This window comes from Homo sapiens, chromosome 7 (genome assembly GCF_000001405.40).
Source record: "Homo sapiens chromosome 7, GRCh38.p14 Primary Assembly".
Taxonomy (NCBI): domain Eukaryota; kingdom Metazoa; phylum Chordata; class Mammalia; order Primates; family Hominidae; genus Homo; species Homo sapiens.
In genome coordinates, this window is record NC_000007.14 from 117,248,060 (window position 1) to 117,266,080 (window position 18,021).

Here is an 18,021-nt window from a genome sequence, read left to right on the forward strand (position 1 = left end):
AACTCATGCAAGTTTCTCCAATTGTCCTAATACTGTCTTTCAGGGCAAAAGGATCTACTTCAGAATCACACAGAGCATTCAGTAGTCATGTGCCTTCACTTTTCTTCACTTTGAAACCAACCCCCAGTCTTTCTTGATCTTCAAATTCTTAACATTTTTTGAAGATTCAGGATCAGTTATTTGGTAGCATGTTTCTCAGTTTGGGCCTGTCTGATATTTCCTCATGATTAGATTCAAGTTTTGTGTCTTTCTCAGGACAATCCCAAAAGTAATCTGTGTTCTTCTCCATGCGTGCTATCAGGTAACATACATTTTCAATTTGCAGAATTCCTGGCAATGAAGACTGACCACTTGATTAAGGTGTCTCTGCCAGGTGTCTCTTCCCCCTCCGCCCTTGTAATTAATAAGTATTTTGTAAGGAGGAACTTGGAAACTATCTAAATATCCCATTCCTCACCTAACTTTCCATTTCTTAGTGTGTTTATTTGTATCTGAATGGACTAATGAATTCCTATTTTATTCAAAATCTGCTACTATCGTTATTTGTTTTGAGGCTCACGCTGTGTCATATTTGGCCAGAGGAGCCCTTGTGTCTGGCTCTGTGTCCTTCTGACATGTCCCATCATTCTTTGATCACTTTCTTGCTTTCTGGTACAGCAAGATGCTCTGAGCTTATTTAGTACTTTCTTTGCCCCTAAAGGAAGCTCTGGTCCCTTTTACTGGGAAATGGACAGTGTTTCAAGCACCATTGTGTTCCCTTTTGTGCATTTTCCAGACCGATATCTTCTCTGTCCTGCTTCACCCCTCATTCCTTCCACACACTGTGTTTACATCACCAGTGTGCCTCTCTCTCCCCTACTCCTGCCTCCACACATCCCATCCTGTTTATGTGTGCATGTTTGGAAGCACTAACTCTGTGAAACAAGCAGTCACGTGACAACATCCCGGCTCTGAGAAAGCTGGCTGCTACAGGCAGACATGCTGGGCAACCCACTGGCCATGCCTGGGGAACGCTGGCTCCAGGACTTCTGGCAATGCAGCTGCAATGAGTTAAACCTCTGAATTTGTGTGGGTCATTCCCAAGCACAAGTGAGGATCAGGACCCATGGCTGACTTACCATTTTACACTGGGAGGACAACCGAGTTCTTGTTTGGCCTTAGTTCAGCTTTTCCCCAGACTGCTTTCCCTGATTTTTTGAATCTTGAGAATTTTTTTACCAGGTCTTCTCTACTTGGCATCTTTCCTCCTCTAAGAAGGAAAATGTGAAAGGCTTCACTAATTCTATCGTGCCAGCTTCTGTTCAGGTCTGGGGCTTTCAGCCAGACTGCGCCCCAGGGTAGGGCCAGTTGGTTCCCTGGAGGTTGTGAGTGGAGCCTGGGGGTTAACGTGGACTGGCAGGTGCCCAGGGCTTGCACACATTTTATCCTGTCCTTCCAGGCTGTATCCCACCCCCTTCCTCTTTGATGACTTATGACAACTCATGAGGTAGCTCCTGCCATCCAGATTCTTTTATTTTCCTCTGTGGGCTTTCTGTCCTCTGCCCATCTTCCTACTGGTCTTTACCACTGTGGATTTCCTAAGCATGACTTCCTATACCCACTCCGTCTGGAATTTAATAACATCTTTTCTTTCCTTGAAGTTACATGTGCCCAACATTTCTGTCCTCTACTCCAGCCTCTCCTGAGTGGTCTTGAAACCCTAGGAAGCTGCCCTGGACGGGGCCAGAAGAGACACCTGAGCTCTGGGCAAACAATCCAGAGGCCAGCGAGAGGCCCTTGGCATGGCCGGTGAGGAGTGCTCAGTTTCCTGCTCACTGAACTGGGGAAGTGAGAAGGAGACACAGAGTGAGTGAAGCGTGAGTCGTGATGGAGAGTAAGGAGGCAGAAGTTGTGTTGGGCTGTGTGAAATTTAAACAAGTGAAGGAAAAGGCTGAAAGAGAGGAAGAGGAAGCAGATCCTTGAAGAAGAGCAGAGGGGCCACCAGAGGGTGAAGAGGGAAAAGTAGCTCCCTTGGTTTCCAACATCTTTCTAGAAACAAATGCCAGTTCATTTAAAGCCCAACTGCTCTTGCTTCCTGACCAAGGATTCTGTCGGATCTTTATATCCTTACAATCAGCTGCCTTTCTTGTGCCATTTTGAGTGGATTTCTCTTTCTTGCCATCAAAAGAGGCTTTCTTGAATTTTTTTTTTAAGAGACAGGGTCTCACTCTGTTGCCCAGGCTAGAGTACAGTGGTGTGATCACAGCTCACTCTCTGTAAGCCTCAAACTTCTGGGTTCAAGAAATCCCCTTACCTGAGCTTCCCAAGTAGCTAGGACTACAGGCACACACAACTGTATTTTTTTTTTTTTTTAGAGATGGGGTCTTGCTATGTTGCCCAGGCTGGTCTTGAACTCTTGGCTTCAAATGAACCTCCTCAGCTTCCCAAAGTGATTGGATTGCAAATGCCCTCACAAAGTGTTGGGATTATAGACATGAGCCACCCTGCCCAGGCTTCTTGAACATTCTTGTTGACTACATTGCCTTCCAGACCTATCAGGTAGAGACTGTTCTCCCAAGTCCTGAAAGAAGGGTGAGCATTCCCTCTCACTGCACAGTGCTGTGACCCAGATGTCCCTGCAACACTTTTGTTAAACAACCATCCTTCTTTGCAGGCCCATGTGAAGCAAGGGGATATATCTTCCTCTTTCCTGTCATCCATTGATATCTGGACCCTTTTCCAGGTTCCCTGATAAACACAGAAACTCTCCCTTTGTATCCCTTGCCATCATCCCGGGCAATGTCAGGGTCCACGTGGATGGTTCACGTCCCCCATCAGCCCCACAGTCCCTCCACCCATCCATTTCAAAAAGAATGAAAACAATACATTACAAAATGATTCGTATTTTAGAGCTTAGGAAATACTTTCCCAGTCATGAGCTCATTTTGTTTTGATTTTTGAACTCCATTCCCAAAGCCAAACTATAGACTCATCCTCTTATCACTGCTTCATTTCCAAAGCCTAGATGTTATTTTTAGGAAGCTGGGCCTTTAATGCCACTTGAAAATATCTTACTAATCCTTCAAGAAATCCTGATCTCCATTTTCTTCTTCCAAGCCTAAGTTCTCCTTCTATCTGCACTCTTACTGTCTTGGCTCCAATCTGCTCCAAGATCTTAACACATCCCATTTTTCGTCTCTTTCTCTACCATCTCCATGTCCAGGCACCCTTTTCCTTGACCTAATTAAATAGTCCAATGTTTTCCTAGAAACCAGCCCTCTTCAATCTTGCTTCTCCCTTAGCCTGCCATTCAGCGTCTTCCTACTCACTCCCTTCTTTAGGGCTTTTGAGCATCATTCTGCCTCTGGTATCTCTTCACACATTCCTTCTTTAATCCTCCAAACTCTGTTCTGACAGGCCCTAATTCTTGTTGTTGTTATTATTTTTTTAATACCACCAAGCTTGCTTTTATGGATTTGTTTTTTAAGGGAAAAGGATGACTGCCCGTGTTCCAGTTCGAATTTGACCACCAAGCCCTGGGAACTCTCCTCCTTCATCCTCTGCGACACTCTTTCTTGAGTGTCTGGAGAGGGTTTTCTCCAAGCTCTCTGGTCCGTGTCTTCCTTTGCCACCATAAATGGAGGCCTCTCTCAAAGTTCTTATGTGGTTCTGGAGGGTCCCTTCACTGTTTCACTCTCTCCCACCCACCGCCTCCTGACGCTACCCCCATCCCTGCTGAGCTGCTGAGCTGCTGAGCTGCTGAGCTACATTTTCAACTGCCTATCTGACATCTTGCTCCAGTTTCAAACTGAACTCAATGTCTTTCCCCTAAAAAGCCCCTGTCTGTGTAAATGACATCACCAACCAGCCATGCACACAGAAATGTTGGCGGTTGAATTCCCAAAGTGAATCAGTAGCTCCTAGTGCCAGATGGCCGGAAAGTTCTGCACCCATTCTGCAATTCAGGGCCTAACTCCCCTCCCTGATCCATGCCTGATTCATTCCCATGACCCTCTGCCTGGCTTGTCTGCCTCCAAACTCCCCTCTTTTCAACCTTAAAACACGGGTTTAGTCCTAACATTTCCATCGCCGACTTTGCACTGATTTCTCACCATGTAAAGGGAAAGGCCCTGGCTCCTGGGAGGGGACCCAAGGGCTCCATGGTGTCCCTGACACATCTCCCCCCCCATACCTCCAAGCCCCTTGGCTCCTGCCACAGGAGTCTCCCCACTGATCCCTGAACCTGCTGTTTTTCTTCCCATGCCTCCACTTACTGTTCCTTCAGTTAGGAAGATTTTTCTCTTCATTTTCTGCCCATCCGAAAGCTCTCATAAGTCAAAGCTCAGATGGATCGCCACTCTTCTGAGAAGCATTCTTTGATGCTCCTGGACAGAACTAGCTTGCTCCTCTTGTCTCTCCCATACTGCACTACCATTAGTTCCTCATTCATCCTGCCTTGAATTGTAAATGGTTGCAGTCATGCACCACATAATGTCTTGGTCAACCGTGGACCGTATATACAATGGTGGCCCCATAAGATTATAAGACTGTTTTTACCGTATCTTTTCTATATTTAGATACATAAATAGTTATCCTTGTGTTACAATTGCCCGCAGTAGTCAGTACAGTCACATGCTGTACAGGCTTATAGCCTAGGAGCAATTGGCTGTACCACACAGCCTAGGTATGTAGTAGGCTATGCCCTCTAGGTGTGTGTAAGTACACTCTATGATGTTTGCATAAGAGAAAATTGTCTAAGGACATGTTTCTCCAACTGTATCTCCATTGTTAAGCGACGCATGACTGTATTGTTATTTTTTCAGAGTGATATTGATATCCACATTGGCTAAGGAAGATACTGAGACTCAAAAGGTCTAAATTTCTTTTTTTTTTTTTTTTTTTGAGATGGAGTCTCACTCTGTCATGGGGCTGGAGTGCAATGGTGCAATCTTGGCTCATTGCAACCTCCACCTCCCAGGTTCAAGCAATTCCCCTGCCTCAGCCTCCCGAGTAGCTGGGACTACAGGCACCCGCCACCACATCCAGCTAATTTTTTGTATTTTAGTAGAGATGGGGTTTCACCCTGTTGGCCAGGATGGTGTTGATCTCTTGACCTCGTGATCCACCTGCCTCGGCCTTGGCGTGAGCCACCACACCCTGCCAGGTTTAAATTCCTTAAGATGATACAGCCTGAAGCTATAGAACTGGAATATGAACCCAGGTCGGCTTTATTCCAAAGTTCACTCTCTTTCCCCCTAGGGCCTAGATCAATTGTTCCCAGTCTCCATGGTACATTGAAATCACCTGGGGAATCTGCGGAAACTATTGCTCCACCCAGGCATTCTGATTTAATTGGTATGGAGTGTAACCTGGGCTTTGGGTTGTTAAAAATACTCCTCAGGTGACTCTAATGTGCAGCCTACCTCTGCCATAGGCTACTCAGTGCTTCCCCCAGTGTCTGGCACATAGTGTGTTTAGTACATGTTTGCATTCAATCTTTTCTCCATATGCTTTTCTGGTCACCTGGACACTTACTCTTCAATTCTAAGGCTGGCAACAATTCAAAAGAAAAAATAAAGCAGAGAAAGAAATTAATTATCTGGCTAATATGAGCCCCCCAAATTCATTTTCCATGAAAATTTCCAAATCAATATAAAGAAATTAGGAAGCATAGGCCAAAGTTACATTTTAACACATTTCACTTGATCCTCCATTGCCTTCCTTTGGCGAGAGCAGCCTGCTTGTGTGGCAGCCTTCAGTCCCCACTCTTTCCATCCCTCCAGCAGCTGCACATTGACAGGACTTGTTTCACAAATTGATCCCAAGGCGGAGACTACCTTCTTTTGAAGGCAGGCTCTGCAGAGGAGGCGACAAGGATCAGGTCACACTCCCTGAGTCCTAGACGTGGTCCCTGTGTCAGACTGACACAGCCCTGCACAGCCCTGGTAACTGACAGAAAAAACATCTCATTGGGTTAGTTACTCCCTTTGCATAATGTGAGGTTATCACATTGCAGCCAAATTTATGGAAGGAAATTTGAAAACTGGGCAACCTCTTTAAAATGTTTTGTCCCATTGAGACTTTATTTATAACTTTTAATATTAAATTCTGTCAGTGAGGAAACATCACCTGATATAACTGTGCTGTGAATTTACATGCACTTCTTGTCTAGTGAATAGGATATGTATTCCTATAAAATTCTAGTAAAGCTTCTGTTTTGTTACATCTAAAGAGAAAACAACTCAGAAGACCTTTCAGCATCTATGAAGGTCATAAAACTACACTTCCCAGATGTTATTGGATACAGGTGTTGGTCCTTGCTAGCAATAATCTAGAACATATGAGAGCATGGACATCCTTTCTGCATGCTCGAAGTTCTGGATTAAATAGTTCATTCACCAGACTTTATTTGGAGTCTTCTCTGCACGCCCACATACACGGTGTTCATATAGGACCAAGTCCTCTGTGGAGCCCAGTGACTCACAGTTGTGTTCCTTTAGAAAGGTGCCTAGCTGAACAGCATCAGTTGGATGATACTTTAGATGGTACTTAAAGAGGTGCTTCAGAGCCTCAGAAGATTGAGTTCTTAGTGAATTGTCCACGTGGGCAGCTTGTCTTCGAAGGCAGGCACAGGTGGAGGCTGTGCCTTTGACGGTAACTTCTGAAACTCAGCCTCTTCAAGTGCAAGACAAGAGAGTCATATTAGAAATTCGGCTGGGTGCGGTGGCTCACTTCTATAATCCCAGCACTTTGGGAGGCCGAGGTGAGTGGATCACGAGGTCAGGGGTTCAAGACCAGCCTGGCCAAGATGATGAAACCCCCACCTCTACTAAAAATACAAAAATTAGCTGGGCGTGGTAGCAGGCCAGGCGTGGTGGTGGGTGCCTGTAATCCCAGCTACTCAAGAGGCTAAGACAGAGAATTGCTTGAACCTGGGAGGTGGAGTGAGCTGAGATCATGCCACTGCACTCCAGGCTGGGCGACAGAGCAAGACTCCGTCTCAAAAAAAAAAAGAAAGAAAGAAAGAAAGAAAAGAAAAGAAATGCATTTCTGAGGTTCATGCCAGCTCTGTGGTGAGTCTGAGGGTCTGTAGAGTTCAGAGGATGGGGTGGCCATGGAGACCTTCTTGCAGGGAGGTGTGTATCCAGTTGCAGAGTGTATTCCCCCACAGAGGAGGGGAAACAGGAAGTGGACCGGCCAGGACCTGGTCAGGAAACACACCAGTTACAGAAACGGACAATTCAATATAGAGAACTGGAGAACATCAAGGGAACCCTGGGCTATTGCAGAAATAGGAGGTGCAGGAAGCAGCTAGCACTTTTAGATGTAGAACAGAGGGAAGAGGTTGGGATTTTTTGAAATTAGAAATTGGAGCTAAGGTGGCAGTCCTGGCCTGATGGTGTTGGTGTCTCTTAAAGCCACAATGAGGCTGGTCTGGAGGGTGAGAGAAAACTGTAAACTAGAACCTGCTTCTGCTGCAGGAGGAACTGTTGCTGAAATAACAGACAGGAACATCCAGCAGACAGAGCACATCCCCTCTCTTTCTCCTCCTCCAGCCTTGTAGTCCCCTCTGACATCTTCTTGAGGAGCCGACCAAGAAGTGGCTGGCAAAGCAGAAATATGGTTTGCAGCTTCAGCCAAATGGCCAGAGCTGAGCACTGAGTAGTGGTTTGGAGATGAAAGACAGTATATTCATACCCAGCCCAGGAAGAAAGGGGAACAGGGGTCACTACTAGTTAGGGAACTTGTGTAAGCAAGCAAAGTAGTAACAATATTCACCATGTCCAATATCCACCATATCCTCTTGTATCATTGTACCCCTTCACTCTTTAATCCCCACAACCATTGTATGGAATCACTATTGTTATTCAACTGTGGCAAAGGAAGAACTGTAGCTCAGATGGATTAGATAACTCTGCAGTCTTACCCAGAATGGGGATCAGAATGCAGAATCATCCCACTTTAAAGCTCTTTCCAACACAGGAGGCACCGTGTGTGCTGAAGATGTGCTTGGTGTGTCTAAGCAGCAGTGAGTAGTTAGACTAGAAGGATTCATGCGGAACAGATTTGGAGGGGGAGTATGGGCTAGATTGTGGAAGAGTATGGGGTTTGGACATTTTAGGCATTAGGAACCAATGAAGATTTTGGAAGACTGCAGAGAAACGATGGAAACACTTTTAGAGTGATTTGTTTAGAAAGAGTGAGCAAGGTGGATTGATGAGAAGAAAGTCTGGTGCCAGTGAGCCTCATTGAGCATTCAATTTAATAATTTAGAAATGAAGTGATACAGGCCTTGGTTTGGATGGTGGCAATGAGAAAGAAGAGGAAGAGAAAAATATTTCAAACAAAGAATACACAGAAATTGTTGCACATAGAGATTATATGAAAAGTAGGACTCAAGGATAATTCCGAGATTTGGGGGCCTGGATAACTAGTAGAATAGTGATTCTCCCTTCAGAAATAGAACACTTGGGAATTCTGGAATTTTCTTCCTTTTCAAATGTGGCCTCTCTCCCTGCACTGTCCCCTGCCCCTAATGTACCATGATGGTATAGGATACCCAACGATCTGAGCTTCACCCTTGATTACCATCGGCAGAGTTGATAAGTTGAACTAATTCAGAGATAACTGTTTACTGTGTAGTCAGGGAAAACATTCACTTGGAGACTGGAAACTGCTGTTTTTCACTATCACCAACTTGCTGTTATTCACTAGCTTTGACTTGATCCAAGTTATTTGACAGTATGGCTAAGAGGATGTATTGGGATAATATATGTCAATGGTTCTCAACCTTCGGTTTTATTGTAATCCCCTGGGGAGCTTTTAAGTAATACCAACACCTTGGCCCATCTCCAGAAATTCTCAGTTAATCTGGGATAGGGCCCAGTCTCCCCCACACCAACCCAGGGTGGGTCCAAAGGGGCAGGATGGAGCGGGTGGCTGGGACCCAGTTTGTTTGTTTGTTTTGTTTTTTAACCAACATCTCTGGTTATCTACTTGAATGTTCCCTCACATACATTCTCAAGGACTCCAGAGGGTTTCACTAACGTCTAAGGGTTGTCAGCATAAGAGAACTCACCCAGAACTTGTTTACCACATTCAGGAAGGTGTGGGCATCTTGCAAGATAAGGGGGCCAGGGGAGAAAAGATCTCTGCTTGCCAGTACAGCCACAGCCTAGTAGGGCATTTTGGATTTTCATAGCCTCAACCAATGAAAACACATTTAAAAATTCAACTAGACTTATATAAGAGCAAGAATTTGTTACTCTACCTTCCTAATGTTATGTGAGTGTCATAGGGCATTCTGAGGGGGATAGGTTATGCATGTGGCTGCAGTTCTTAGAGAGGTAGCACATTATATTTGGGTGGTCCAAGCCAAGTTGAGACCCAGTTTACCCAGAGAGCATGTACTAAAGTATAATCCAAACGACCCTTGAAATTCCCTTGTGAAGATCTGAAGATAGTGTAGTTCTGCTCTCACAGTTCAACATAGATTTTCTTCTACTGTTAAAACACATTGCTTATTCTTCCCCAAGCCCTTAAGGGATGGTTGGTTTGTGTTTTAAAAGAGCCATTTATACCTAACAACAATATCTCTAAATACAAAATTCACACCTAGAAGGCTCGGGAGCTCGAGTGAGAGACAGGCTGTGCCCAGAGGCATGGACAGTAACTGAGGGAAGTGCAGATTCAAGTCTCCAGTCCATTCTCACTCAGGGATGCCTGCTTATTGAGGTAATGGCCCCACTAGCTCACATTTTTACCCATATCTCCCCCAGCCATTTCTCTCTTAAATGCCACAAGTGTGTTTCTGATAGAGGTCATCAAGACCTTCTTGTTGGACAGCACTCATAGTAGATGGTAGATTAAAAGTCACTGATATAGAGAAGGGGCTAATTTCCCCAGTACACATGCCACACACCTAAGGACATCTTCATGTTTGGCATACAGTAGTCCCCTGTCAATGACAAGAGTAAAACCCTGTAAAATATTTGAATAAATTTATTCTGAGGCAAATATTAGTGACCAATGGCCGGTGACAGCCCTCAGGAGATACCGAGAACATGTGCCCAAGGAGTTTGGGCCATAACTTAGCTTTATACATTTTAAGGAGACACAAGACGTCAATCAATAGATGTAAAATGTACATTGGTTCAGTCTGGAAAGGAGAGACAACTGGACGTGGGGGCTCTCAGGTCATAGGTAGATTCAAAGATTTTATGATTGGCGATTGGTTGAAAGAGTTAAGTTATTAACTAAAGACTTAGAATCAATAGAAAGGAATGTCTGGGTTAAGATAAGGGTTTGTAGAGGCCAGAGTTTTATCATGCAGGCAAATTCTCCAGGTAGCAGGCTTCAAAGGGAATAGATGGTAAATTTTTTTTTTAATCAGACTTAAAGAGTCTGTTCTCAGTAATTTCAAAAGGAAGGACGGTATAATGAGGCATGTCTGACTCCCTCTTGCCATCATGTCCTGAACTAGTTTTCCAGGTTAACTCTGGAATGCCCTTTGCTGAGCCATGGGTTCTATTCAGATGGTTGGGGGACTTGGAATTTTATTTTTGGTTTACGTACCCTATCTGTGATTTCTCTCTTCCCATAGTTTCAGTTACTTGCAGTCAACTGTGGTCCAAAAATAGGTGAGGGCAGTACAATAAGATGTTTGGAGAGAGAAAGATAGACCATATTTACATAACTGTTATTACAATATATTGTTACAGTTTCTCTATTTCATTATTAGTTATTCTTAATCTCTTACTCTGCCTAATTTATAAATTAAACTTTATTATAGGTGTGTATGTATAGGAAAAAATGTAGCGTATATAGGATTCAGTACTACCCGAGGTTTCAGGCATCCACTTGGAACGTATCTCTTAAGCATAAGTGAGGACTACTGTACCCGCAACCCCAGGCTGATCCAGATGAGCTAGAATCCTCTTACTGAAGCATTGGCTTTGACATCAGGGAGCCTGGTGCCAGCATTTTGGAGTGTGAAGATTGTATTTACATCCCTGACTCCTCCCACTTTTCCCACACTCCCACCCACCCTTAAATTAGCATCATCAATCTATATCATTGTGTCCTTAGGGTAAACTCTGTGTGTGTGTGTGTGTGTGTGTGTGTGTGTGTGTGTGTGTGTGTGTGTGCATGTGTCTGTGTGTATACACCACTTCTCCTGTCAATGGCTTCTAATCGTCCCTCATTCTTAGCATGATGTAATTAAGCAACAAACTCACATTTTGTGATCCTTGTGGTAGGTTGTACAGAGGGAAGAATAGAAACTTAAAGTAAGATTGGCCTGGTTTCACTCTCTGCTTGGTCCAAACCTCAACTTGTGCCTAGAATTAGCAACCGGAGGAGAAAATGGCCAGCAGAGAGTCTACCCAAGAAGACTAGACTAAATTTCCAGGGGAATTTAGTTTTTTTTTGTCCTTGAGTTGCTTCTACAACTCTTCAATGTCTTTAAAAAGTAAGTTTTTGAAAACTGTTTTTTCTAATTGTCACAGTGGGAGGATTGGCCTCCTCCAGGCTACTACCTCTTACCTGAAGGCATGGGTGAGGTTTTTAAGCTAGTGGGTCTGTGTACTGTAAATACTAGGTATAAAATGAAGACACAAATCAATTTAGAGCAGGATCTCATTATGAAAGGAGTCATTTGCATACCCAGACTTAGTTATGCTAATATAAGAACACTGCTAGACTCTCCTTACCATGGGGTGAGGACATAGCAGAATCTTTGAAAAATTCCTGTGGTTTATCAGTTTGCAAAAAGATCCCTGGAGGCTTATAGTATGGAATGACTGTGAGACTCCACCCTCATCTTCCTAAGAATTGAATTAGAGAAATCTGTTTTTAAGAGTGTGGCCCTAAAAAATATCTGCTGGCATGAAAGGATCTCAAGGTCCCCTAAGGGGAATTCATTATGAGAGTGTCTGCTCATGATTCCCGTTCAACATAAAAGCATGGAGGTTCTTTGGGAAGGAGAGGTTCTAGCAAAACATGTAAGTGAGGCTGAAGAACCCATGGATCTACCCACCAAGACATATTGTCATTCTTTGAGAACAATAGCTGAATATGTGAGTGAAAAATAAAAGAGCTATGCCCTTGGGACCCAAGTGTGAGCTTTGGGCTGTTCAGGGATCTGCACTGGTAAGAGTATACCTGATCTTTGAGCTAGAGTCCTTGCAACTCTGCAGGGCCAGTGTTCAATAATGGGGTTCTATGTAAGTAACAGAAGCAGTAATGCTGGTAGGCTAAAGAGACTTTCCAGTTAGGCTGCTTGGGAATACTAACCCATTTAGATTCAATGAGCCTTGGGGATTCTTGGATAGTTTGCAGTGGGAGCCTCAAGAGAGAGATCTTGGATTTCTACTAATTAGGATTGGAGGAAAATGTGTAAATCTGGTAAAGAGGGTTATACCAGCTATACCAGCTTTCAAGCTCTAGTTATTCATTTGTAATGGGAGTAGGGACAGAGTATAAGGGAAGAAAATTCTAGTAGCATGATAATATTAGTGTTTTAAGACAACCAGCTCTTAGGGATCATTAGGCTTTTGAGATCCTTTTACTCAACCACAGGAAATCAGAGTGTGAGTTTCTGATGCTTTCATGGACAGGTCATTATATATACGCCAGACTTACTTGAAGACACTTTCTGAGCCACGTGATAAATAGCAGGCTATTGCAATTACTACATAAAATTGGAGTTTTCTTGACTTTAAGAAGAGTTTTGGAAGTAGTAAGCATAGTTAATGCTCTCCTATTCTTGTATTTTAATTGTTGCAGGTTATTTTTCATTAGATTAACACTAAGAAGTCAATATTGTAATCTATTTGTGGCTCTCAGAAAACGTACAATAATTTCAGTTTAACCAATTTACAAAACAATCTTGGCAAGAATTTGGTTTGCATACTTATGAGAGATTCAAAGCTGGGTACTACCTTTATGGTATGAATTTGTACCAGGCATGATGAGAATTTTTTTTGAACGTGTACATCAGAATTGCTTGAAGAACAGTTGAGTCTTATGTTTACTCATTCCTTTATTTGAAAAAGCGTATGAACTTATTGAATACTTGCTGTATGCCTGAGTGCTTTATCGTGGAATCCAGATTGAGAAGTGAGAAGAGAAATTGGTGTAGGGAAAGGGAAGAAGGGAGGGAGCCTGCCTAAAGGAAATACTCCCAATCATCCTTGGCTAATGTGTATTGGAATTGTAGCTTTATAGATTAGATTAATTTTAGTGAAAAGTTGACGTTTTATAATATTAGGTCTATTGTTGTATTATCTCCATTCATTCAAAGTATCTCCTTTTCATTACTAAAGTTTTGTAGGTTTCTGTCTTAATAGTTCTGCATAGCAGTTACTGTTTATTCCTAAGTATTTTTTGTTTCTGCTATGAGTTTCTACTACCCTAAACAGTTGCCCAGCTTTCAGTAAGTCCTTCCCACATCCACACATACAAATTCACTCTCCTTCTTTTAGGTTGACTGAAGAGGTGTAAAAATTATTTTCATCTTTCTGTGAGATAAATTATTCATTTTTTGTTATAATGTTTATCTTTAAATTTTAACATGCTTACTTAACAATGCCTGAAGTTTATCAATACTTCTACCCTTCTAAACAATTTAAGTTAAACTGCTTAAAATTGATCACTCCATTTCCATCTTGATATTGTTGCCAATACTTTGTCTCACTTTGTTTCACTTTGTTTTATTACCAGACATTAGTAATTACTAGTTATTTCTAAATATTCACTATTGTCTACATTTGACTGCACAAGTACAAATTTCTTTATTCATCATATCTTCTTGCATCTCAGTTCTTCCTTTTAGAATATATTTCCTTTTTCCTGAAGTTCCTAGACAGAGTATGCTCTTCGTAGATTTTGTCTCAAAATGTCTTTATGTTGTCCTTGCTCTTTAATGATAATTCAGCTGGATATAAAGTTACACGTTGACATTTATTTTCTTTCAAGAAATTTGAAAATATGATTCCATTGTCTTCTGCTTTCTATCAGTGCTTTGAAAAAGTCTGCTATTAGTTTGATTATTGTTCTTTTTTAGACAACTTTTCTCTCTGGTAGCTTTTTGTGTCTTCTCTTTTTCTTCTACTCTCTACAGTGTCTCAGCAATATGTTTTGTTATAGATTTATTTTGTTAATTCTACCTGGTAGTTATGCTTCTTGAAACAGGTTTTATATATTTCATCCATTCTGGAAAACAGTCATTTTCCCCATTTTCTCTCTCTTTCTGGAACTTCTAGTATAAGTATATGAGGAACCTTTTCATTCAATCTTTCATGTCTCTTAATCCCTTTTGTATTTTTTCTTTATATCTTGGACAACATTCTGGGTAATTTCTTTAAATCTATCTCTTACCTACTTCATTAACTTTTTCTTTAGCTGAATCTATTTTTTTCTGATCAGCAGAAAAACATCCACTGAGTTTTTTTAAAAAGACCTATTTAATCAACATCAAGATCAGACTCTTATAGTGATCAACAATATGCATACAAAAATAAGTATATTATAAAACTTTTGTTGTAATGCTTCATACTTTCCACAGGAAAAAAACTAAAATTTCTGTTATATAGTTAGTCACAAGAACTATCTTTATGGATTTTTGCTCATAGGAGTATGTTCTAAAGCATCTCTTTTTGTAGGATGTAGATCCTGCCACCGCAGTTGGCTGAGTTAATAAACTTGTTGTAACCTGTAGCTTTCCTGTTATTTTTCAGGCTTTCCTCTTTTGCTAAGCACTTTTTTTTGGCAGTAATTAAAATCTTCTGCCACTGCTATAGCTTCTCCTGATGCTAATACAACCATAACCACCTTGGTTTTGTGGTTTGGCAAAGTATTGGCTCTCCCAGTATAAGAACCGGAGCTTCTGCTCCATGATCTCCTTCCTTTATGGGTCCAGAATTTGAAGATTATTGTAATTGCCATTGTCCACTGTCGCTTCCACCACCTCCAAAATTGCTTCTATCATTACCAACACCATTATAACTATCCCCACTGGCATCATATCCACCACCATCATGGCTGCCACCAAAGCTATCACAACCATTGTAATTTCCTCCATAATTAAAGTTGCCATTCCCTCTAAAATAACCTCCACAACGACTGCTGAAGTTTTCAGAACCACTTTGACCTAGATAAGGCACTTACAATCTCTTGCTTAGCCAGGGATTTCCCTACTTCACAGTTATGGCCATTCATAGTATGTTGTTTCCGAATGACAATCTTATCCATGAACTTATGGTCACCAAAGTTTACAGAAGCAAAGACTCTCCTCATCACTGCCCCAGTCTGTAATGATTTCACTTCAGTCAATCTTCCTATACTGCTATGTATTATCTGTTATGAGAACGATAGATGCAGTTGCCTGTGTAAGGAAATATTTAGTGGCTGCTTCTGTAGAGCGGGGTTTTTTTTTTGTTTTTTTTTTAATGAAGATTGGGATAAGGGGATGGAATTTAGGCTTAGCCTATAATTACATTAATTTTATTGTCCCTAGGAGGTTTACCTCCATTAACAGGATTTCTGCCTAAATGAGTCATCATTCAAGAACTTACAAAAAACAACAGTCTTATTTCCCCAACCATTATAGCTATTATAACCCTACTCAACCTATACTTTTACATATGCTTAATTTACTCTGGCTCAGTGACAATATTCCCCACATCCAATAACATAAAAATAAAATGACAGTTTGAAAACACAAAGCCCACATTATTCCTCCTCCCACTTATCTCTTCTACCTTCCTTTTACCCATTTCCCCATTAACACTATCTATGATCTAGAAATTTAGGTTAAACAAGACCAATGGCCTTCAAAGCCATTGAACATCACCCGTCCAATGAATCCCCTCCCCCATGAAAAAAGTTTTATGTTTCTATGTTAATTATCCCACAGATTTCTTAAATTATAGCATTCACAGACACAGAACTAATCATATTTTATATTCTCTTTGAAGCTACACTTATCCCTACACTAATCTTTATTATCTGCTGAAGTAACCAACCAGAACACCTCAATGCAAGCTCGTATTTCCTATTTTATACACTAGTAGGGTCTCTCCCCTTATTATACTTATTTATACCCAAAATACCTTAGGTTCACTAAATATAATAATGACATTCAGTACCCAGGAACTACTAGTCTCCTGATCCAACAATCTCATATGATTAGCATGTATCATAGCTTTTATAGTAAAAATACCCCTATATGGACTTCACCTATGACTCCCTGAGGCTTATGTAGAAGAAACCCCCATTGCTGGCTCAATAGTACTTGCAGCAGTGCTCCTAAAATTAGGTGGTCATGGTATAATACAGCTCACCCTCACCCTTAGCATTGACTTAATGGGCAGAATATTATGCTTTGTTGTTTGGACTTATGTAGTACAGGAATAACTGCTAGAATGAGAAGAGCGAATAGAAGGGCCAGTATAACTCCTAGTTTATTAGGAATGGATTGTAAGATTGTATAATCTTCCTATACTGCTCAAAATAATCTCTTACATGTTGTTCTTCAATGTCTTCCTTAATGCCACAAAGATCTTTTTCATAGGTAACTGGGCACCTGGTCTTTGGTAAAATTTTTAAAAAATATCCCTCTTTGATTTCACAACTCTTCCACCACCTTGTGTGGACTTCCATTCATGACTGAATCTGCTTGCACCATGGTGGCATATATGACAAACCTAAAGATTCTGGAGTGCTTAGTGTGTGCGTCTTTCATTACCACACAATCTGTGTGCATTTCCCATTACTGAAAATGGCTCTTCCATCTCTTATGATTATTTTAATGAAGAGCTTCTGCAGTTCTTTGGGCTCTTTGGGACACTGACTAAGACATGACTGCAACAGGAGGAGACTTTAACTGTGTTTCCTCTGTTGTGGCCACAGGCAGAAAATCACAGAGTTTTTCATATCAGTGGTTATATTTTTAATTTCTGGGTAATTCCTTCCTTCCCTCCCTCCCTCCCTCCCTCCCTTCCTTCCCTCCCTCCCTCCCTTCCTTCCCTCCCTCCCTCCCTTCCTTCCCTCCCTCCCTCCCTTCCTTCCTTCCCTCCCTCCTTCCTTCCCTCCCTCCCTCCTCCCTCTCTCCTGCCTCCCTCCCTTTTTTTTTTTCAAGGTCTTGCTCTGTCATCCAGGCTGGAGTGTAGTAGTGCAAACATAGCTCACTGCGGCCTTGACCTCCGGGGCTCAAGCAATCCTTCTGCCTCAGCCCCCTCAAGGAACTGGTACTACAGGTGCATGCCAAAACACCTGGCTGATTTGTGTACTTTTTTTAATAGAAATGGGGTTTCGCTGTGTTGCCCAGGTTGGTCTTGAACTCTTGAGCTCAAGCAATTTGCCTGTCTCAACTTCCCAAAGTTCTGGGATTATAGGCGTGAGCCACCACACCTGGCCCTGGGTGTTCTCTTTCAAACATCTTTTAGCTTAATCTTTTTTCTTTTTCTTTTCTTTTCTTTTTTTTTTTCTTTCTTTTTTTTTTTTTTTTTTGAGACTAAGTCTTGCTCTGTTGCCCAGGCTGGAGTGCAGTGGTGGGATCTCGGCTCACTACAACCTCTGCCTTCTGAGTTCAAGCAATTCTCCTGCCTCAGCCTGGCTAATTTTTGTATTCTTGTTAATTCGACCTGCGTAATCAAGCATTAGGCAGGGGCTTGGAGAAAACTCTTAAATTATGATTCATACCATGTCTAAGTTGATACATAATATTTTACAACCATCATCAACTGTGGATGGACTCTCTACATGACAGAGAAAACAGATTTTTCGTGACCAGAAGTCTCAGATTTTCTGCAAGAATCTAAAAACTATTGTATTTTATTTTTTGAGAAGGAGTTTCACTGTTGTCACCCAGGCTGGAGTGGAATGGTGCCACCTTGGATCACTGCAACCTCTGCCTCCTGGGTTCAAGCAATTCTCTTCCCTCAGTCTCTTGAGTAGCTGGGATAGCAGGCACCTGCTACCATGCCCAGCTAATTTTTGTATTTTTAGTAGAGACGCCATTTTGCCATGTTGGCCAGGCTG

At 42.0% G+C, this 18,021-nt stretch overlaps 4 pseudogenes, besides 1 other annotated feature; 2 read left to right on the top strand and 2 right to left on the bottom strand.

The window, feature by feature from the left end:
* Window positions 3,680-3,949: an enhancer, noted in NCBI's record as "active region_26545". NCBI's record gives its function as "activates an Ori minimal core promoter by ATAC-STARR-seq in GM12878 lymphoblastoid cells {active_cell/tissue: GM12878}" and the evidence as "EXISTENCE:reporter gene assay evidence [ECO:0000049][PMID:35858748]".
* LOC100421782 (heterogeneous nuclear ribonucleoprotein A1 like 2 pseudogene) lies at window positions 14,759-16,833 on the bottom strand (annotated as a pseudogene).
* Window positions 15,467-15,774, top strand: MTND2P37 (MT-ND2 pseudogene 37; annotated as a pseudogene).
* MTND4P6 (MT-ND4 pseudogene 6) lies at window positions 15,836-16,335 on the top strand (annotated as a pseudogene).
* Window positions 16,334-16,471, bottom strand: MTCYBP6 (MT-CYB pseudogene 6; annotated as a pseudogene).